We start from the raw sequence: 23,371 nt of genomic DNA on the forward strand, positions 1-23,371 counted from the left end.
TTAAAAGGTACAGAACCGCAGAATGGATAAGAACTCACCAACCATCTGCTGCCTTTGGGAGACTCACCTAACACATAAGGACTCACATAAACTTAAAGCAGTGGAAAAAGGCATTTAATGCAAATGGACACCAAAAGCGAGCAGGGGTAGCTCTTCTTATATCAGACAAAACAAACTTTAAAGCAACAGTGGTTAAAAGAGACAAAGAGGGACAGTATATAATGGTAAAAGGCTTTGTCCGACAGAAAAATATCATAGTCTTAAACATACATGCACCTAACACTGGAGCTCCCAAACTTATAAAACAATTACTAATAGACCCAAGAAATGAGATAGACAGCAACACAATAATAGTGGGAGACTTCAATATTCCACTGACAGCACTAGACAGGTCATCAAGAGGGAAATTCAACAAAGAAACAATGGATTTAAACTATACCTTGGAAAAAATGGACTTAACAGATATATACAGAACATTTCATCCAAAACCCACAGGATACACATTCTATTCAACAGCTCATGGAACTTTCTCCAAGATAGACCATAAGATAGGTCATAAAATGAGCCCCAATAAACTTAAGAAAATTGAAATTATATCAAGCACTCACTCAGACCACTGTGGAATAAAACTGGAAATCAACTCCAAAAGGAACCTTCAAAACCATGCAAATACATGGAAATTAAATAACCTGCTCCTGCATGAGCATTGGGTCAAAAACGAAATCAAGATGGAAATTTAAAAATTCTTCAAACTTAATGACAGTAATGACACAACCTATCAAAACCTCTGGGATACACAGCAAAGGCGGTGCTAAGAGGAAAGTTCATAGCCCTAAATGCCTACATCAAAAAGTCTGAAAGAGCACAAACAGGTCACACCTCAAGGAACTAGGGAAACAAGAACCAATCAAACCCAAACCCAAAGGAAATAACCAAGATCAGAGCAGAGCAAAATGAAATTGAAACAAACAAACAAAAGACCAAAAGATAAATGAAACAAAAAGCTGGTTCTTTGAAAAGATAAATAAAATTGATAGACCATTACCAAGATTAACCAAGAAAAGGAGAGAAAATCCAAATAACCTCACTAGAAAATGAAACAGGAGCTATTACAACTGACACCACTGAAATACAAAAGATCATTCAAGGCTACTATGAACACCTTTACACATATAAACTAGAAAACCTAGAAGAGATGAATAAATTACTGGAAAAATGCAACCCTCCTATCTTAAATCAGGAAGAATTAGATACCCTGAACAGACCAATAACAAGCAGCAAGATTGAAGTGGTAATTTAAAAATTACAACAAAAAAAAAGTCCAGGACCAGACGGATTCACAGCAGAATTCTACCAGACATTCAAAGAAAAATTGGTACCAATCCTTTTGACACTATTCCACAAGATAGGGAAAGAAGGAACCCTCCCTAATAATTCATAATTCATTCTGTGAAGCCAGCATCACCCTAATACCAAAACCAGGAAAGGACATAACTAAAAAAGAAAACTACAGACCAATATCCTTGATGAATGTAGATGCTAAAATCCTCAACAAAATACTAGCTAACCAAATCCAACATCATATCAAAAAGATAATCCACCATGATCAAGTGTGTTTCACACCAGGGATGCAGGGATGGTTTAACATATAGAAGTCAATAAATGTGATACACCACATAAACAGAATTAAAAACAAAAATCACATGGTCATGTCAATAGATGCAGAAAAAGCATTCGACAAAACCCAGCATCACTTTATGATTAAAACTCTCAGCAAAATTGGCATACAAGGGACATACTTTAATAAAAGCCATCTATAACAAACCCACAGCCAACATACTGAATGGGGAAAAGTTGAAAGCATTCCCTGTGAGCATGGGGTAAAAGACAAGGATGCCCACTCTCACCACTCCTCTTCAACATAGTACTGGAAGTCCTAGCCAGAGCAATCAGACAAGAGAAAGAAATAAAGGGCATCCAAATCAGTAAAGAGGAAGTCATACTGTCACTGTTTGCTGATGATATGATTGTTTACCTTGAAAATCCTAAGGACTCCTCTAGAAAGCTCCTAGAACTGATAAAAGAATTCAGCATAGTTTCCGGATACAAGATTAATGTACACAAATCAGTAGCTCTTCTATACACCAACAGCAACCAAGCGGAGAATCAAATCAAGAACTCAACTTTTTTTTACAATAGCTGCAAAAAAAAATAAAATACTTAGGAATATACCTAACAAAGGAGTCAAAAGACCTCAAGACCTCTACAAGGAGAACTACAAAATAGTGCAGAAAGAAATCATAGACACCACAAACAAATGGAAACACTTCCCATGCTCATGGATGGGTAGAATCAATATTGTGAAAATGACCATATTGCCAAAGCAATCTACAAATTCAATGCAATCACCATCAGAATACCACCATCATTCTTCACAGAATTAGAAAAAAACAATTATAAAGTTCATATGGAACCAAAAAAGAGCCCACATAGCCAAAGCAATACTAAGCAAAAAGAACAAATCTGGAGGCATCACACTACCTGATTTCAGACTATATTATAGAGCCATAGTCACCAAAACAGTGTGGTACTGGTATAAAAACAGGCACATAGACCAATGGAACAGAATAGAGAACCCAGAAATAAACCCAAACACTTACAGCCAACTGATCTTCAACAAAGCAAACAAAAACATAAAGGGGGGCAAGAACACTCTTTTCAACAAATGTTGCTGGGATAATTAGCTAGCCACATGTAAGAAAACGAAACTGGATCCTCAGCTCTCACCTTATACAAAAATCAACTCAAGATGTATTAAGGACTTAAACCTAAGACCTGAAACTGTAAAAATTCTAGAAGATAACATTGGAAAAACCCCTCTTGACATTGGCTTAGGCAAGGATTTCATGACCAAGAACCCAAAAGCAAATGCAATAAAAAAAAAAAAAAAACAGCTGGGACCTAATTAAACTAAAGAGCTGTTGCATGGCAAAAGTAACAGTCAGCAAAGTAAACAGACAATCCACAGAGTGTGAGAAAATCTTCACAATCTACATCTGACAACTAATATCCAGAATCTACAGTGAATTCAAGTCAGTGAGAAAAAAACAATCCTATCAAAAAGTGGGCTAAGGACGTGAATAAACAATTCTCAAAAGAAGATGTACAAATTGCCAACAAACATATGAAAAAATGCTCAACATCACAATGATCAGGGAAATGCAAATGAAAACCACAATGCGATACCACCTTACTCCTGCAAGGATGGCCATAATAAAAAAATCAAAAACCAGTAGATGTTGGTGTGGATGCTGTGAACAGGGAACACTTCTACACCACTGGTGGCAATGTAAACTAGTACAGCCACTATGGAAAACAGTGCAGAGATTCCTTAAAGAACTAAAAGTAGAACTACCATTTGATCCAGTAATCCCACTACTGGGTATCTACTCAGAGGAAAAGAAGTCATTAATCGAAAAAGATACTTGTACACACATGTTTCTAGCAGCACAATTCACAATTGCAAAATCGTGGAAGCAAACCAAATGTCCGTCAATCAATGAGTGGATAAAGAAACTGTGGTGTATATAGACGATGGAATACTATGCAGCCATAAAAAAGGAATGAATTAACAGCATTTGCAGTGACCTGGATGAGATTAGAGACTATTATTCTAAGCGATGTAACTCAGGAATGGAAAACCAAACATCGTATGTTCTCACTGATAATGTGGGAGCTAAGCTATGAGGACTCAAAGGCATAAGAATGATACAGTGGACTTTGGGGACTTGGGGGGAAGAGTGGAAGGGGGTCAAGGGATAAAAGACTACAAATATGGTGCCATGTATACTGATGCATGCACCAAAGTCTCATAAATAACCACTAAAGAACTTACTCATGTAACCAAATACCACCTGTACCCCAATACCCCAATAACTTATGGAAAAATAAAGAACACATCCCAGTTTAAAAAAAATTGATGGGTTAAAGAAGTGTAGAAATAGCTAAATATTTATGCCTTAACAATTTAGCCTATATATGTCAAAATGGATAGAATGCAACTAAGGTGGTACCCAGGGGCAAATTTACATGAATTTTAGCTTAGATACATTAATATAACTTATATGCATTTGGAAATAAGGAAGATGCAAAATAAATGAATCATGCTTTTAAGTCATCACTGAAAAGGCAATAAAACCCAACAAACAAACAAAAATCAACGAAATTTAAAAAAAAGATATGTCTACAAAAAGAGCAATTTGATAGGATTTTTAAAAATTAAGCATACTCGGCCGGACATGGTGGCTCATGCCTGTAATCCCAGCTCTTTGGGAGGCCGAGGCGGGTGGATCACGAGGTCAGGAGATTGAGACAATCCTGGCTCACACGGTGAAACCCCGTCTCTACTAAAAATACAAAAAAAGAGACGGGTGTGGTGGCGGGCGCCTGTAGTCCCAGCTACTTGGGAGGCTGACGCAGGAGAATGGCGTGAACCCGGGAGGCGGAGCTTGCAGTGAGCCAAGATCGTGCCACTGTACTCCAGCCTGCGCAACAGAGCGAGACTCCGTCTCAAAAAAAAAAAAAATTAAGCATACTGTTTGCTACAGTAATTCTACCTATCACCCATTTGCACAAAGAGAAATATATAAGGATGAACATTGTTTTTAATAGGAAAATATCAGAAACAGCCTAAGGGGTATATCAGTAGGAATATAATTAAATAATGTATAACACATATAATAGTAAAATAATTCAAAAGAAAAATCTAGAGCTATATTAGCATAAATAGATCTCAAAAAACGTTGAGGGAAAAAGCAGTGCCTACTGTGGTATTATTTATGCAAAGAAAACATGCTTGCATATAAAGAAATATATATATGTGGATACATATATACCTATATGAAAGCATTTTACTGAAAAGTCTTGAAGGATATATGCCAAATCAAAATGGGAAGAGACAAGAATTCAGGTGGAACTCAAGGAGGGCTTTAACTTTATCAATAATATTCTGATTTTTTTAAAGAAAATATATTCATACATAAATTTCAAAAAATAAAAACACAAACCAGATTTTCAAATGTTTTGGTTATTATTAATCAGCCCATACTTAGGGGAAATAATATATATCATATAAATCCATGGATTTAGAATATGTAAACATAGCCAAGCTTCCTTTGTGTAATACAAACTCTCCTCTTGGTATGTTCTTTTCAGGTATGACCCCAAAACAAACCAGTGGAGCAGTGATGTGGCCCCTACAAGCACCTGCAGGACAAGTGTTGGTGTAGCAGTACTTGGAGGCTTTCTTTATGCTGTGGGTGGCCAGGATGGTGTGTCTTGCCTCAACATTGTTGAGAGGTGATCTTTTTTTTAAGTCATTTTCCGTATTTTTATTTTAAAGAACATAGAGCTCTTTAAAAGAAAAACTACAGGTTGGGCGTGGTGGCTCACACCTGTAATCCTAGCACTTTGGAAGGCCAAGGCAGGTGGATTGCTTGAACTCAGGAGTTCGAGACCAGCCTGGGCAACATGGTGAGATAAAAAATACAAAAAAAAAAAAAAAAATTAGCCGGGCGTGGTGGTGCATGTAGTTCCAGCTACTTGTGGGGCTGAGGTGGGAGGATCACTTGAGCCCAGGAGGTTGAGGCTGCAGTGAGCTGAGATCACGCCACTGTACTCCAGCCTGGGTGCAAAGTGAGACCCTGTATCAAGGGGGAAAAAAAAAAAAAAAAGAAACAAGTAGAGCTGAATTTAGGACATTGGAGGATCCACTATTCAGTGGATTTCCCATAGGCTTTCAGCAAAAAGTCTTCAGTTGATCTTAAAGTCTAGGAAAATGAAAGATCTAAAAAAAGTTTTTTTTAATTAACAAAAATTATATATATTCACAGTGTACAGCATGATGTTTTGAAATATGTATAGGTTGCGGAATGGCTAAATCAAGCTAACTAACATATTATCTCACATACTTATGATTTATTTGTGGTGAGAACACTTAAAATCTACTCTCAAGTGTATAATACGTTGTTATTAACTATAGTTACTATGTTGTACATTAGAGCTCTTGAATTTATTCCTCCTCTCTAACTGAAATTTTGTACTCATTTACCAAGATTTCCTCACTGCCCCTCACCTTGCCAGCCCCTGGTAACCACCATTCTACTCTCTACTTCTGAGTTCAACTTTTTTAGATTCCTCATATAAGTGAGATCATGCAATATTTGTCTTTCTGTGTTTAGCTTGTTTCACTTAATGTCCTCCAGGTTTATCCATGCCGTCGAAAATGTCAGGATTTCCTTCTTTTTTAAGACTGAATAGTATTCTATTCATATATGCCACATTTTCTGTATCCATTCATCTGTTGAGGTACATTTAGCTTAACTTCATATCTGGTCTATTATAAATAATGCTGCAATGAATATGAGAGTACAGGTATCTCTTCAACATACTTATTTCCATTGAATATATACTTAGTAGTGGGATTACTGGATCATATGATAGTTCTATTTTTAATTTTTCGAGGAACCTCCATACTGTTTTCCGTAATGGCTATACTAGTTTACATTCTCATCAATGGTATGCAGGGGTTTCCTTTTCTCCATATTCTTGCCAACATTTGTTATCTATCTTTTTTAATATAGTAGCCATTCTAACAGGTGTGACATGGTATTTCATTGTGATTTTAATTTGCATTTCCCTGATGATAAGTGATATTGAGCATTTTCTCATATACTGAGCCATTTTTATGTGTTCTTTTGAGAAATATCTATTCAGGTCCTTTGCCCATTTTTAAATCAGATTATTTGTTTTCTTGCTGTTGAATTGTTTAAGTTCCTTATATATTTTCAGTATTAACCTTTTATGAGATGTATGGCTTGCAGATATGTTCTCCCACTCTGTAGATTGTCTCTTCACTCTGTTGATTGTTTCCTTTGCCATGCAGAAGCCTTTTTGTTTGATGTAATCTTACTTTTTTTGCTTTTGTTGCCTATGCTTTGGGGCACATAACCTGATTTTTTCAACTGTCACACTGATTGTACCTAACATTGAAATGTTAGAAATGTATTTCAGATTATATTCTATATATATCAAGCATACCACTTGTGAAATCTGTTCTGATTTTTTTCCTGAATCTACCTGGAGTGTACTTAATGAATGACTCTACTTAGACTTCCCCCAGAGAAATGATTACATAATAATACTTTGTATAGGACATCTTATAAAAAGCTTAAAGTATTTTGTATATAGACTCATTAATCATTGAAGTATACTTAGGGAAATCTAGGTGGGCTGCCATAGTCACTTTATACTGGTGTACAAATAGTTAATTTTGGTAGAACAGATTTTGTTCTTAATTTCTTCTGTCAGCTTTTCGTCATTAGATTTTAGAGTCTCATGTGCTATGATTACTGATAAGAACATATATTTCATCCTCACATCTTAAAAAGAAATGAGTCATGACTCTAAAATTTTTGAGGTAGCATTTACTAGTTTACCATGTATATGTTGAAACGTTTAACTGTTGTAAGTAGAGATAAAATAGAAGGTAACTCTTGAAAGCTATGCCAGTTCCCTTTTATCTCTCTGTCAAGAAATCTATTTTTTCACTTTCAAAACTCAGTACAGGAGGTTAGCAGCAGTGATGGCATAGTTTTTTAATATCTCCAAATGCCCACATAAAAACAGATAGAGTAATAGATAGCAAAGCTAAAAACCTATGTACTAGTTCTGGAGATTGGAGTTACACAACAATGTGAATATACTTAACACTACTAAACAGTTAAAACATGGTTAAGATGGTAAATTTTATGTTATGTGTGTTTTACCACAATTTAAAAATCAGAACCTGTGAACAAAATTTAACACAAAACTAAGGGAAAGAATATCCTCACAAACTCCAAAACACAAACGGGCAAAGACAAACTACCATTAGCCACAAGACCTGCATGATATTAGTATCTTCAGGAGAAATCAGAAAGAAGCAATTGGATGTCTGACAGATCTAAGAACAAAAGAACCTCAAACTAGCTAACACGTAGTAAATAGAAAGCACAAGGGGAAAATTTATCAGCAACTGAAACTAGAAACAGTTTTGTCCACTGCCATAGAGTGTAAGTGCAAGACCCTCAATAAGATCTAAAGGGCTTAGAAGAGGGTTTCTCAACCTCAACACTACTGGCGTTTTGGGTCAGACAATTCTTTGTTGTGGGGGACTGTCCTGTGCATTGTAGGATGTTTAACAGCATCCATAGCCTCTACCAACTAAGTGCCAGAAGCATGTGCCTGGTTGTGACAACCAAAAACAGTCTCTAAACATTGCCAGATGTTACTTAGGGGATGAGAAAGGGGGGATGAAGGGGAATAAAATAACACCTGGTTGGGAACCAGCTGAGTTAGAGCCATCTAGTCCCTGGGAACTCTCAAAACTGACCAGCCAGGATAATCTTCCAGGTCAGGACCCTACACTGAGGAGAATCAAAATTAAGCAGGACGAGGGCAACAGATGCCCTTGTTTTCCTTGAAAAGAGAAAGCCAAGACAAAAGTAAGGCAGTGAATAAAGTCAATAAATCTCTGGACTAGGCGCTGTGGCTCACACCCATAATCCCAACACTTTGGGAGGCCTAGGTGGGAGGATTGCTTGAGTCCAGGATTTCAAACCAGCCTGGGCAACATAGCGAGACGTTGTCTCTCCAAAAAATAAAAAAATTAGCCAGGCTTGGTGGCATACACCTGTGGTCCCAGTTACTCAGGAGGCTGAGGTGAGAGGATTGCTGGGAGGTCAAGGCTGCAGTGAGCCATGATTGCTCCACTGCACTCTAGCCAGGGTAATAGAGTGAGACCCTGTCTCAAAAAAAAAAAAAAAAAAAAATTTAAGGATACCCCATTCTTTATGATGTGATTATTTCACATTGCATGCCTATATCAAAACATCTCACATACCCCATAAATATATGCCCAAAAGTTAAAAATACAAAAAAATTTAAGTAATAATCTCTGAAGGCAAGGCACTATGTTTTTTAATACTACATAAAAAAAAGAAGGAGCTCCACAAAGTTAGAAAAACTGTCACAAACCACTCACTCCTATTTCTAAAAGTTCAGGAAAACTCATTTCATGTAAAAATGAAATAGCAAAGTATTGAGATTAGATTCCATACAAAGTTAATATAAGAAGAGAGAATAAGCAGCAGAATAACATCTCTACAGACAATAAAAGCACACTAGAAAGACACACCTACAGATCAAAACCTTAACTGTTTCAAAATGTGATAAAAGACATTAAGAAAATGATAACAGATATGAAACTACATAAATCAGAAGTAGAAAAATTCAGAAATGAAGTGACAGAACTCAGAAATGTATTAGAAATGAAAGGAAAAATCATTTCAGAATGAAGATTAAAGGATAATAAGCAAAACAGATAATGCCATAAGACAAATAGAAGGCGAAAAGAGGAAATATTTTAAGGTCAAAAAGAAATGAAGGCCGGGCACAGTGGCTCACGCCTGTAATCCCAGCACTTCTGGAGGCCGAGGCGGGTGGAGCATCTGAGGTCAGGAGTTCAAGACCAGCCTGACTAACATGGTGAAACCCCATCTCTACTAAAAATACAAAATTAGCCGGATGTGGTGGCAGGCACCTGTAATCCCAGCTACTTGGGAGACTTGAACCCGAGAGGTGAAGGTTGCAGTGAGCCGAGGTCGCACCATTGAGCTCCACCCTGGGCATCAAGAGCAAAACTCTCTCTCAAAAAAAAAAAAGAGAGAGGAAAAAAAAAAACAAGAGATACCATTTGAGAGATAGTAACAAATATTGAAAATAGGTAAAAATCTATTATACAGGTGATAGCAGTCCTTAAAGAAGAAAACCAAAGGGAGGAAACAGAATGAATACTAAGAACTATAATCCAAAGTTACTTTCCTATAATTAAAAAAAGAAACTTTTTTGAAAGAATACGCTATATCCTTCGAATATTGACCCAGAACACCAAGACATATGCTAATAACATGACTGTACCTTGAAGAAAAAGAAAAAATTCCTTAGACATCTACAAAAAAGTACATGTTACTTGTAAGGAAAAGAAACTTAGATTATCATCTGGCTTTTTAAAAGTAGTAGTTCATGCCAGAAGAAAATAGAATTGCATGTTTTAGATATTCAAGAAAAACGTGAGCCAAGGATTTTATACCTTGAGAAACTGACTTTGAAGTACAAAGGGCACAGACAACTATTAACAACATGTAAGAAATTAGGGAATCTTGTTCCCTTGAGCCCTCTAGGAGAACAAACTTCAGACAAAATTACTAGAAAGACATTGACAGAAGGGCTAGACCATGTGGTTCACACCTGTAATCCCAGCACTTTGGTAAGCCAAGGTGGGAGGATCGCTTGAGACTAGGAGTTCAAGGCTGCAGTGAGCTATGATCATACCACTGCACTTTAGCCTGAGTGACAGAGCAAGACCGTGTCTCTTAAAAATAAATACATAGATACATACAGTTAACTGTAGAACTATGACTAAATGAAGATTAAAAGGGGGAGGGCTGGGTGTGGTAGCTCTGACCTATAATCCCAGCACTTTGGGAACCCAAGGTAGAAGTACGACTTGAGGCCAGGAGTTTGAGACCAGCCTAGGCAACATAGTAAGACCCTATATGTTAAAAATGTATATATGTATATTTTTTAATTAGCCAGGCATGGTGGTGCACACCTGTATTCTCAGCGACTCAGAAGGCTAAGACAGGAGATTGCCCTGAGCCCAGGAGTTCAAGATTATAATGAGCTATGATTGCACCACTCTACCCCACCCTGGGTGACAGACTGACCCTGTCTCTAAAAATAAAAATAAAAGGGAGAGAGTGTAGCATGCTCTAGCTATGTACTCAATCCATGTAAATGTAGTACAAAGAAGAGGTATGCAAAAATGAATTTTAATTGTTCTCAGGGATATTGGAGTGATAATATTGCTATTCTGTTATGTGTATAAATGTAGAATAAAGGAAATGAGTATGCATTATTCTAATTCTGCTCTCTCCTTTGTCCTTGAAAACCAGAGTGTGGAGGTAGAAGAAGAAAAGGTTGCAAAATAGAAGTTAAATAAAGTATCTTGTAGTCCTGAGTATGAATTTGAACTAAATTCCTCTTTTGAAAAAATTTCTATATATTCTAGCTTGTCAACTGAGAAAGCCTCGAAATAAAGTGTCAGTGAACATCTCTACTCCCAGATTGTATCTTGAAATTTTATTTCCCACTTAAAGAAACCAGAGCTTATTGGAAAATGTCTGATTCCAGGTTTAGAACAGGAAATGTGCAGATGAGTCTGTACCCTTTTGTCATACCAAATAGCAAGCAAGCTGTCAAAGACCGCTAAGAGTCAAAAAGACTCAGGAGCCAACTTGAAGATGTTCCCACTGACCAAAGATAACATAATTTCAGCTTTAAAAGGGATAATTGCAATAGATTGAAATCCAATAAATACACTTAAATATATGAGTTCTTAATGATAAACTTTTTAAGACTAATTGGTTGCCTTTGGAAGATCATATGGAACAAATTTATTATCTCAAAACATAAAATGAAGTGAACATATATCCTGCTTTTCTTATAAGAACTGTATTATTATATTGATTAACCAAATAGTTAATATTATTATATTGATTAACCAAACCATATTATTATATTGATTAACCAAATAAAAGGATTGTTTCTTTATAAAATTATCCCAATAAAAGAAAATAAGTGATTATCATTTTGCAACACTCAGTAAATTAGTGTATCTAGACATTGATAAACAGCTGCTAACATACCACCTTCTTTAGTCTTGTTAAAGGAACCAAACATGGTCTGATCAAATTTCTGGATCCAACTACCAATTTGCCCAACATAAAAAGGACAGAGCAACAGATTGGACTGCACTATGAACGTACAGTCAACCAAATCCATATTATGGGGAAAATTGTCATACACTCTGGGTTCTAAAACAGATGAATTGCAGGGAAGAAAAGGAATGGAGAGAAAACCTGTAGACAATAAGAGACTTTTTAATTTAATCTGATTTTTTTAGAGACAGGGTCTCACTCTGTCACCCAGGCTGGAGTGCAGTGGTGCAATAATAGCTCACAACTGTCTCAAGCAATCCCTGCCTCATCCTCCCAAGTAGCTGGGACTGCAGATGAATGCCGCTATGCCTGGCTAATTTTTTTTCCAATTTTTTTATAGAGATAAGGTCTCTCTGTGTTGACGAGGCTGGTCTTGAACTCGAACTTGTGGCCTCAAGCAGTCCTCCAGCCTCAGCCTTCCAGAGTGCTGGGATTACAGGCATGAGCCACCACACACAGCCTTTTTTTTTTTTATCTTTTTTTTAAGTCTCAGCCAGACACAGTGGCTCACCTGTAATCCCAGCACTTTGGGGGGCCAAGGTGAGAGGATTGCTTGAGGCCAGGAGTTTGAGACTAGCCTGGTTAACACAGCAAGACCCCTATTTTTAAATAAATAAATATTAATTAAATAAATAAATATTAATTAAAATTTTTTTAAATGTAATGTTAAGTAAGATTGAAGTGTCTAGGGATGGCACTTTCTGTATTTGAGTTTTATAATAAAAAGGTTGTCTCAAAGAACTATGCAAAAGACTTCTACTTTCTAATAGGATGTAGTAGAGAGTAACAGCCATCACCCCCACTACAACGACTAGGAAAAAAAGACAAATTACAAAAATCATATTTTAAAATACATCAGAGGCATTTCAAAGTAATGACCAAATGAACTAAAATTCCATTGAAGAAAGAGCCTGTGTTGCCAGCCGGGCACGGTCACTCACGCCTGTAATCCCAGCACTTTGGGAGGCCAAGGCTGGCAGATCACGAGGTCAGGAGATCGAGACCCTCCTGGCTAACATGGCGAAACCCCATCTCTACTAAAAATACAAAAAATTAGCCAGGCGTGGTGGCAGGCACCTGTAGTCCCAGCTGCTCAGGAGGCTGAGGCAGGAGAATGGCGTGAACCCAGGAGGCGGAGCTTGCAGTGAGCTGAGATCACGCCACTTGCACTCCAGCCTGGGCGACAGACCAAGACTCCATCTCAAAAAAAAAAAAAAAAAAGAGAAAGAGCCTGTGTTATGTGAGCTGAAGTCATAGGTTGTTTTCTTTCCTTGGGACATTTTCCAAGTATGAGTGTAGAAAATAGCTTAATAGCTGGCACAGATATAAATTCTAAGACGTTTTTCTAATGACTAAGTAAAATGTTAGATTTTCATTGCACATTTGACTATAGCAAGTCCGTGTACTCAGTATATCGTTAGTGTGATTTCAGATCTTATGAAAAAGGCTTCACTTAATAAGAACAAGCATACAGTCTGGTTTCCCTCACTGCAGGTATGATCCGAAGGAGAACAAGTGGACTCGGGTAGCTTCTATGAGTACCAGAAGACTAGGTGTGGCTGTGGCTGTGTTAGGAGGGTTCTTATATGCTGTAGGTGGCTCTGACGGGACATCTCCTCTCAACACAGGTTAGTCCCTCCCAAAGGCAATCAGGTTCCCCAAAAGCAGAACATTTTCCTGGAGAGTCCTCCTACAAAACGTGTAGAAACTCCAGGTTATCCTATAATTTACTAGGAAAATGCCTGATTTTTCCCTCCAGCAGAGTGCAGCTCTCAGCTCTTCCTCAGCTCCCACTGTAGTCATATTCTAAGTACGTTCCCCAAATATTTATTTCTTCCCCTGCTTTCCAAGCTGCTGGAAATTTATAATGAATTTTAAAAACTACTTTCTTATATAATTAGTTCCTTTTCCTCCATCACAACTTCTCCTCAAAACCACAACGTACTCTAATCCAAGAATAAATAAAAACTTAGAACTACAAATTCGTTTATTTGGGTTTTGTTTTTGTTTGTGTTTTTATGACAGGGTCTCGCTCTGTCACCCAGGCTGGAGTCCAGTGCCACAATCTTGGCTCACTGCAACCTCTACCTCCCGGACTCAAGCAATCCTCCCACCTCAGCCTCCCGAGTAGCTGGGATTATACGTGTATGCCACCACACTTGGCTGATTTTTGTATTTTTAGTAGAGATGGGGTTTCGCTGTGTTGCCCAGGTTGGTCTCAAACTCCTGAGCTCCAGTGATCTGCCCACCTCAGCCTCCTAAAGTGCTGGAATTATAAGTGTGAGCCACTGCACCTGGCCTGGTTTGTTATTCCTTTCTATTTAGATAGTATGGGTATTTTTGCCTAAGGATATTGTCAATGTGACAGTCACACCAGATTCGTCACGTCTTGTCTTCTCTTCAGAAGCTTAAAATGCACTGTGCTATAGGGGAGGGAATACAGGAGTACAGAAGTTGTCTGATTATGATGATAAATTGTTAGTACTGAATGGTGCTTATTGATCATGTAGTCAGGCTCCCCATTTAACGATAAGGAGAGTGAGGCTGAGAGTCATGTAGCTAATTAGTCATTTAGATAAAACTAGAACCAGAGTATCTGGATCCCAACACGTGCCCTTTCCACTGTACCATACCTAGAAGAAACCAGTCCCTGATGAGAGTATATGTAGTATTGTCCAGAGGTATACAAATCCTTCTCAGAAGCAAAAATCAGATCATGTGTTGAAAATATGTGTTATCACAAAGTATCAGTGGCTATAAAGAAAACTGGAGGTGAGAGGAAATGGTTGAATGCTCACTTACTGGTTTTTCTTTTCCCTACAGTGGAACGTTACAATCCTCAGGAAAACAGATGGCACACTATAGCCCCTATGGGGACCCGGAGGAAACACCTAGGCTGTGCAGTATATCAGGACATGATCTATGCTGTAGGAGGTAGAGATGACACTACAGAGCTGAGCAGTGCTGAGAGATACAACCCCAGAACCAACCAGTGGTCTCCAGTGGTGGCCATGACATCACGCCGTAGTGGAGTAAGTGGTTATGGACACTTAGGTTGCTTCCAAATCTTGGCTATTAATAGTGCTGCAATAAACATGGGAGTGCAGATATCTCTTCATTATACTGGTTTCCTTTCTTTGGGGTATATACCTAGCAGTAAGATTGCTGGATCATATGATATTTCTATTTTTAGTTTTTTGAGGAACCTCCAAACTGTTGTACTAATTTATATTCCCACCAGCAGTGTAGGAGGGTTCCCTTTTCTCTGCATCCTTATCAGCAATCGTTATGGCCTGACTTTTGGATAAAAGCCATTTTAACTGGGGTGAGATGACATCTCATTGTAATTTTCATTTCCATTTCTCTAATGATCAGATGTTGAGCACCTTTTCATATACCTGTTTGCTATTTTTATGTCTTCTTTGGAGAAAGGTCTATTCAGATCTTTTGCCCACTTTTTAATTGGATTATTAGTTTTTTTCTATTGAGTTGTTTGAGCCCTTATATATTCTAGTTATTAATCCCTTGTCAGAAGAGTAGTTTTCTCCCATTCTGTGGGTTGTCTCTTCACTTTGTTGGTTGTTTCCTTTGCTGTGCAGAAGCTTTTTGACTTAATGTGATCCCATTTGTCTATTTTTTCTTTGGTTGCCTGTGCTTGTGGAGTATTACTGAAAAAAATCTTTGCCCAGACCAATGTCCTGGAGAGTTTCCCCAGTGTTTTCTTTTAGCAGTTTCATTGTTTGAGGCCTTAGATTTAAGTCTTTAATTCATTTTAATTTGATTTTTGTATATGGCAAAAAATGGGGTCTAGTTTCATTCTGCATATAGTTACCTGGTTTTCCCAGCACTGTTAATTGAAGAGATTGTCCTTTCCCCAATATACGTTCCTAGCACCTTTGTCAAAAAAACAGTTCGCTGTAGATGTATAGGTTTATTTCTGGGTTCTCCATTCTGTTCCATTGGTCTATGTGTCTGTTTTTATTCTAGTCTCATACCGTTTTAGTTACTGTAGCTCTTTAGTATAATTTGAAGTCAGATAATGTGATTCCTCCAGTTTTGGTCTTGTTGCTCAAGATAGCTTTGGCTATTCTGGGTCTTTGTGGTTGCATATCAATTTTAGGATTATTTTTTCTATTTCTGTGAAGACTGTCATTGGTATTTTGGTAGGGATTGCATTGAATCTGTAGATTGTTTTGGATAGCATGGACATTTTAACAATATTGATTCTTCCAATCCATGAACATGGAATGTCTTTTCATTTTTGTGTGTCCTCTTCAATTTCTTGCATCAATGTTTTCTAGTTTTCATTGTATTTTTCACTTCTTTGGTTCAGTTTATTCGTAGGTATTTTATTTATAGCTGTTGTAAATAGGATTACTTTCTTGATTTCTTTTTCAGATTGTTTGCTGTTGGCATATAGAAATGCTACTGATTTTTATATCTTGATTGTGTATCCTGCAGCTCTGCTGAATTTGTTTATCTGTTCTAATAGCTTTTTGGTGGAGTCTTTAGGTTTTTCCAAATACAAAATCATACTGTAGGCAAAGAAGGATAATTTGACTTCTTCCTTTCCAATTTGGATGCCCTTTCTTTCTTTCTTTTGTCCCATTGCTCTACCTAGGACTTCCAGTACTATACTGAATAACAGTGGTGAAAGTGCGCATCCCTGTCTTGTTCTAGATCTTAGAGGAAAGGCTTTCAGTTTTTCCCCATTCTAAATGATGCTATCTGTGGGTCTGTCATATATGGCTTTTATTGTGTTGAGGTATGTTCCCTCTGTACCCAGTTTTTTAAGGGTTTTTATCATGAAGGGATGCTTACTTTTATCAAATGCTTTTTCAGCATCAATTGAAATGATTATTTGGTTTTTGTCCTTCATTCTGTTGATATGATGTACCACACTGATTGATTTGCATATGTTGAACCATTCTTGCATCCCTGGGATAATTTCTACCTGGTCATGATGAATTATCTTTCTAATGTGTCATTGAATTCAGTTTGCTGGGATTTTGTTGAAGATTTTTGCATCATTGTTCATTGAGGATATTGGACTGTAGCTTTCTTTTTTTGATGTGTCTTTGTCTGGTTTTGGTATCAGGGTAATACTAGCCTCCTAAAGTGAGTTTGGAAGTGTTACCTCTTCCTCTATGTTTGGAGTAGTTTGATAGGATTAGTATTAATTCTTCTTTAAATATTTGATAAGATTCAGCAGTGAGGCCATTGGGTCCTGGGCTTTTCTTTGCCGGAAGATTTTTTTTTCTTTTTTTTATTATACTTTAAGTTCTAGGGTACATGTGCACAAAGTGCAGGTTTGATACATAGGTCTACATGTGCCTACATGTGCCATGTTTGCTGCACCCATCAACTCGTCATTTACATTAGGTATTTCTCCTAACGCTATCACTCCCTCAGCCCCCCACCCCCCGACAGGCCCTGGTGTGTGTTCCCCGCCCTGTGTCTAAGTGATGTCATTGTTCAATTCCGCTGGGAGATTTTTTATTACAGCTTTGATCTCATTACTTTTTTGTTTTGTTTTGAGACAGGGTCTGGCTCTGTCACCAAGGTTGGAGTGCAATGATACAATGTCGGCTCATTGCATCCTCCACCTCCCAGGCTCAAGCCTTCCTTCCACCTCAGTCTCCCCATTAGCTGGGACTACATGTGCACACCATCATGCCCAGCTAATTTTTGTTTTTTGTTTTTTTTTTGGTAGAGTTGGGGTTTTGCCATGTTGCCCAGCCTGGTCTCAAACTCCTGAGCTCAAGTGATCTATTCGCCTCAGCCTCCCAAAGTGCTGAGATTACAGGCATGAGCCACCACACTTAGCCTTATTACTTGCTATTGGTCCGTTCAAGTTTTAGATTTCTTCATGGTTCAATCTTGGTAGGTTGTATGTGTCTAGGAATTTATCTGTTTCTTCTAGATTTTCTAATGTATTGGCATATATTTGTTCATAATAGCCTCTAATTATCCTTTGAATGTCTACGGTATCAGTTGTAATGTCTCCTTTTTCATCTCTGATTTTATTTATTTGGGCCTTCTTTTTTCTTAATCTGCCTAAAGGTTTGTTGATTTTGTTTATCTTTCAAAAGTCAACTTTTCATTTAATTGATCTTTTGTGTTTTTTTCACTTAAATTTCATTAATTTCTGCTCTGATCTTTATTGTTTCTTCTCATTTTGGATTTGGTTTGTTCTTTTCTAGTTCTTTAAGATGCATTGTTATGTTATTTGAAGTTTTTGTACTTTTTTGATGTAGGCTCTTATTGCTATAAACTTTCCTCTTACTTTCACTTTATGTCCAAAACCGCTTTATAGGTTTTGGTATGTTGTTTTTCCATTTTCATTTGTTTCAAGAAACTTTTAATTTCTTCATTTCTTCATTGACCCACTGGTCATTCAGGATGCTTTTAGGTAAATCAAGCCCTGCTAATTTGACACTAGAAAATAATGAATTTCTTTTGATTATTTTTATCTCATGTAGTTGAAAAATTTTATGTCGTCATATCTTTAATTAGAGAATAATTTTTTAGGATTTCTCCTTTTTTTTTTTTTTTTTTGAGAAGGAGTCTCACTCTGTCACCCAAACTGGAGTGCAGTGGTGCAATCTCAGCTCACTGCAACTTTCACCTCCCAGGTTCAAGCAATTCTCCTGCTTCAGCCTCCCGAGTAGCTGGGAGTACAGGCGCGTGCCACCATGTCCAGCTAACTTTTGTATTTTTAGTAGAGATGGGGTTTTGCCATGTTGGCCAGGCTGGTCTCAAACTCCTGACCTCAGGTGATCCACCCCCCTCAGCCTCCCAAAGTGCTGGGATTATAGACATAAGCCACTGCACCTGGCTTTTAGGATTTATCCTGTATCCATTGCTTTTCTGAAACAATCTCCCCAAATTATCTACTACCTTATCTAAATTAATATTAGATCTATATATTGCAACTTAATGTTTCTAGCTAATAGTCTTAAGTAGTTGGCATACTAATACAAATGTTTAGGCAAAAATACATCTGGCTCCACCCCTAGTCCCCACAAACTAGTTTGAGTCTATCCTATCTATAGTATAGACCAGATCAGACTGCCCTGGGACATGTTCTAGACCATGGATGGCCTGTAACTCAAGAGACTTCTGGGCGAAGTATAGAATTTATCCATCTTGGGATGTTTGCTGAGAGCAAAATATAACCCATTAACCACTGATCATGTCAGGAGTTCATCGAGACATCCACAACAGGAAGGAGAAGCAAGCAGTAGCTAAGCACTCCACAATCTGAGGATAAAAGAGAGTGAATTCTGGTTTGCGTAAATCAAGGAACACCACTGGAAGGTGTCAGCAAGTCAAAGCCTTCACATATCTGTGGCTTTTTATTACTGACAACTAACAACATCTTAGTCACATTCCTGTTAAGTGTTCGCTGTGTGTTGGGAAAGCAAAAATGAGTATGGCATGATTCCTCTCCTTAAGTAGCTCCCAATTTAGTGAAGGAAATTGAAATGTTTACAGCTAACTATAATAAATAAACCCTACAGTAGTGTTATATATTTTATAGAAGAACATAGGAGAATGCGCTTACTGCTTTGGGGAAGTAAGAATGAGTTGGGGCAGTGAAGAGACTACCAAAGACAGTCACATGTAAGCTAGCTCATGAAGGAAGAATAAGCTTTTCTAAAAGACAGACAGAAAACAGTAGCCAGGGCCAGGTGCGGTGGCTCATGCCTGTAATCCCAGCACTTTGAAAGGCAGAGACAGGATTACTTGAGCCCAGGAATTTGAGACCCGCGTGGGCAACATGTGGGACCCCATCTATACAAAAAATTTAAAAATTATCCAGATGTAGTGGTGCATCCCTGTAGTCCCAGCAACTTAAGAAGCTGAGGTGGGAGGATCACTTGAACCTAAGAGGTGGAAGCTACGGTGAACTGTTTTTTTGTTTTATTTTGTTTTGAGATGGAGTCTTGCTCTGTCATCTAGGCTGGAGTGCAGTGTGCGATCTTGGCTCACTGCAACCTCCACCTCCCGGGCTCAAGTGATTCTCCTGCCTCAGCCTCCCGAGTAGCTAGGACTACAGGTGCGTGCCACCATGCCCAGCTGTTTTTTTGTATTTTTAATAGAGATGGGGTTTCACTATGGTGATCTGTGATCCTGCCACTGCACTGCAGCCTGAGTGACAGAGCGAGACCCTGTGAGTGAGAGAGAGAGAGGGAAAGAGGGAGAGGGAGAGAGAGAGAGGAGGGAGGAGGGAGGGAGGTGGGGGAGGGGAGGGGAGAAGAAAACACCAGCCAGGGAACATGTGCAAAAGTGTGGAGGTGTGAAAAATGTATGTTATCTTCAGGGACTAGCAGTTAATCCAGTTTTACTGCAGCAATAGGATTCATTAGTTAGGAGTAAAGGGAAACTATAAGAGGTGAGGCTTAAATAGTGGGCTAAGATAGATTTCTGGAGGGCCTGAGTAACATAATAAGGACTTTAAAACTTACCCTTAAATAGTAGGGAGGCTTAGAAAGTTGTTTTGGTTTTAGGAGATTTTTTTGAGAGGGTCCCACTCTGCTGCCCAGGCTGGAGTGCAGTGTACACAATCTCAGCTCACTGCAACCTCGACCTTTCAGGCTCAAGCAGTCCTCCTGCCTCAGCCTTCCAAGTAGCCGGGACTACAGGTATGCCCCACCACACCCAGCTAATTTTTGTATTTTTTGTAAAGACAGGGTCTCACTGTGTTGCCCAGGCCTGTCTCGAACTCCTGGGCTCAAGCGATCCACCGACCTCAGCCTCCCAAAGTGAGAAAGTTTTTAGAGGAAAGTGACAATATGATTAGATTTATATTTTTCTGTTTTACTTTATTTTTGTAGAGATAGGGGTCTCACTGTGTTGCCCAAGCTGGTCTTGAACTCCAGGCTTCAAGTGATGCTCCCACCTGGGCCTTCCCAAAGTGCTGGGATTACAGGCATGAGGTACCATGCCTGGCCTAGATTTGTATTTTTAAAAGAGAATTTTACTAGCAATTAGAAAGATTAGAGCAGGCAAATACCAGAGGAAGTGAGAGCAGTTTGGAGGTTGTTTGCTCACTTCTAGTGAACAGTTTTTCTAAAATTTAAGAAATACATGTTTTGGATTCTGTGTGAATATTCTAATTGAATATATAATTTTATAGTTCCCATAATTTGATAGACTTTTGTTGTTACATTTTCCCTGTGTTTCAGTAAACCAGAATGTAAGGCCATAAAGAATTATCTTTTGTAAATAGATTTATCTAGAAACCAGTCTATAATTTCCTTACGATTGTCTAGTTTCTTCAGCAGCTTACTGTATTTTGGTTTTGTAGGTTGGCCTGGCAGTGGTCAATGGACAGCTCATGGCAGTAGGAGGTTTTGATGGCACAACATACTTGAAGACCATAGAAGTTTTTGATCCTGATGCCAATACATGGAGGTAACTTTTAAGCTGTGTAGCAAATCACCTCACTACTGATTTGGAAATCATGGGCTTGAAATAGCCTATGACCATCAGAACTGGGATGGTCAGTACATTGGAGTACTTTGAAGAGGGCTGAAGTTACACATATTTATGGCTCATTTTGACTTGATTGCTCTAAAGTGGCTGATATATTACAAAATTCTCCTTTTCAGTAACTGTCCAGTTTTATAATTAGAGATGGGTAAAATAGGGAAAAAAAATCTTCCTAGTCCCATCATGTTCAGCTGAGGAAACAAAAGCACCGAGAAATAAAATGACCTGCCTAAGTGAGTTAGTGACAGAGTTAGAATTAGAACCTAGGTCTTTGGCTCCAAATCTGTCCATGCCATTTTTTGGTGTTCTTGTGGGAAACCTATGCCTAGGAGAAACAAATTGCAATTACTTTTGAAAAATTAATATTTGAAAAATAATATTTCATTTTTAAAGCCATTTTAACTTTTAGGGAGGAGGCTACATCTTATTTAAGAGAGCTTAACTTAAACTTCATTTCTAGGTTTAATTTTACTTTGCTTTTAAATCCTCAATTGTCTAATAAAGCTTTCTTAAGTAGTTAAGTAGTTTTTATAATTTCACATAAATTAGGTGACTTTTGCATTTATTTTAAATATTCAAGAACCTTTACAAACTTAGCAAAATTCTCTTAAACCTTTAAACTTAAAATAATTAAGTCTAAATCTTTACTCAATCATATTTTATACTTGAATCACAAGAGTAATCTTATAGATGCCCTAAAAAGCCAAATTCTCTTAAACACTACAGGAACTTAAAATGCAAAACACATAGTTTATTCTCAAACTTTAAAAATAACAATACTATGGGTTTGATGTATGGCATATCTGTACTTAATTCTAAATACTAGTCTTCTAAGAAAACAGTTTTGCCTTCCAAGCAATTTGGGGTTTCCTTCTCAATAAAATGGGCTTACTTGCCTAAGCAAGTTTAGGGTTACCATCTCAGTGGTTAAGGTTGCACATCAACCAGAAATATCAGGCTGGACATGTGAGCTGAGGCAGCAGACATTCTGGGAAATTTTTCTTATGACCATGAAGGATAAGCTGAGCTCTGTTTTATTGTTACTATTCTAAAAGAGGCAGTCTTGTAGTCCTTTCTTACTGTATTCTAATAGTCTATCTCTAGGAAAGCCACAACTCTCACAGAGATTTAAGTGACATGCTTTGGATCCTACATATGTCTCACAGCTCCATATGACTCAGTGGTCACAAAACTAAAGTCAGGCTAATAACAGCGTGTACGTTTTGCTCCTACATCACATTTTTACAGTCCTGTTCATTAAGTAAAGATTTATTGATGGCCAGGCACGGTGGCTCATGCCTGTAATCTCAGCACTTTGGGAGACCAAGGTGGGCGGATCACCTGAGGTCAGGAGTTCGAGACCAGCCTGGCCAACATGATGAAACCTCGTCTCTACTAAAAATACAAAAACTAGCCAGGCATTGGGGTGGGCACCTGTAATCCCAGCTACTTGGGAGGCTGAGGCAGGAGAATCACTTGAACCTGGGGTCAGAGGTTGCAGTGAGCAGAGATTGGGCCATTGCACTGCAGCCTGGGTGACAGAGCAAGACTCCGTCTCAAAAAAAAAAAAAGATTTACTAAGTGCTCCGAGCCCTGGGGATACAAAACTGAACAACAACAACAAAAATTCCTGCCAAGCGCACGCCTGTAATCCCAGCTACTAGGGAGGCTGAGGCATGAGAATCTCTTGAACCCAGAAGGTGGAGGTTGCAGTGAGCCGAGATCACACCACTGCACTCTAGCCTGAGTGGAAGAGCAAGACTCCGTCTCAAAACAAAACAAAACAACAAAAAAGTTCCTTGCCCTGCTGGAGCTAACCAATTGTATTGAGGGAGACAAACAGTACCATACCAGTAGATGGAAGTGCTGTGGCAAATATCAAAGCAGGGGAGGGGGCTAGGGAGTACAGGGAGGGGAATCTGTTTTTAAAGGTGTTCAGGGAAGGCCTCATTGGAAAGGTAGCATTTTAGCAAAACCTAAATACGGTAAAGGAT

General features: G+C 38.2%; 1 protein-coding gene across 8 annotated transcripts in view; it reads left to right on the forward strand.

Moving 5' to 3' along the window:
• KLHL20 (kelch like family member 20) overlaps nt 1–23,371 on the forward strand; it is a 71,712-nt gene that overhangs the window by 45,951 nt on the left and 2,390 nt on the right. For 5 of the 8 annotated variants that reach the window (XM_017001052.2, XM_005245093.5, XM_024446468.2 and 2 more), the window contains 4 exons: nt 5,215–5,358; nt 13,374–13,507; nt 14,703–14,911; nt 21,193–21,299. In XM_017001052.2, coding sequence (XP_016856541.1) covers nt 5,215–5,358; nt 13,374–13,507; nt 14,703–14,911; nt 21,193–21,299 — 594 coding nt within the window. Of the gene's footprint in view, nt 1–5,214; nt 5,359–13,373; nt 13,508–14,702; nt 14,990–21,192; nt 21,300–23,371 lie in introns of those variants that run through there. The other 3 variants (XM_017001053.2, XM_047418030.1, XM_047418029.1) reach the window with 3 other exon arrangements.

Source organism: Homo sapiens, chromosome 1, assembly GCF_000001405.40.
Source record: "Homo sapiens chromosome 1, GRCh38.p14 Primary Assembly".
Classification (NCBI taxonomy): Eukaryota; Metazoa; Chordata; class Mammalia; order Primates; family Hominidae; genus Homo; species Homo sapiens.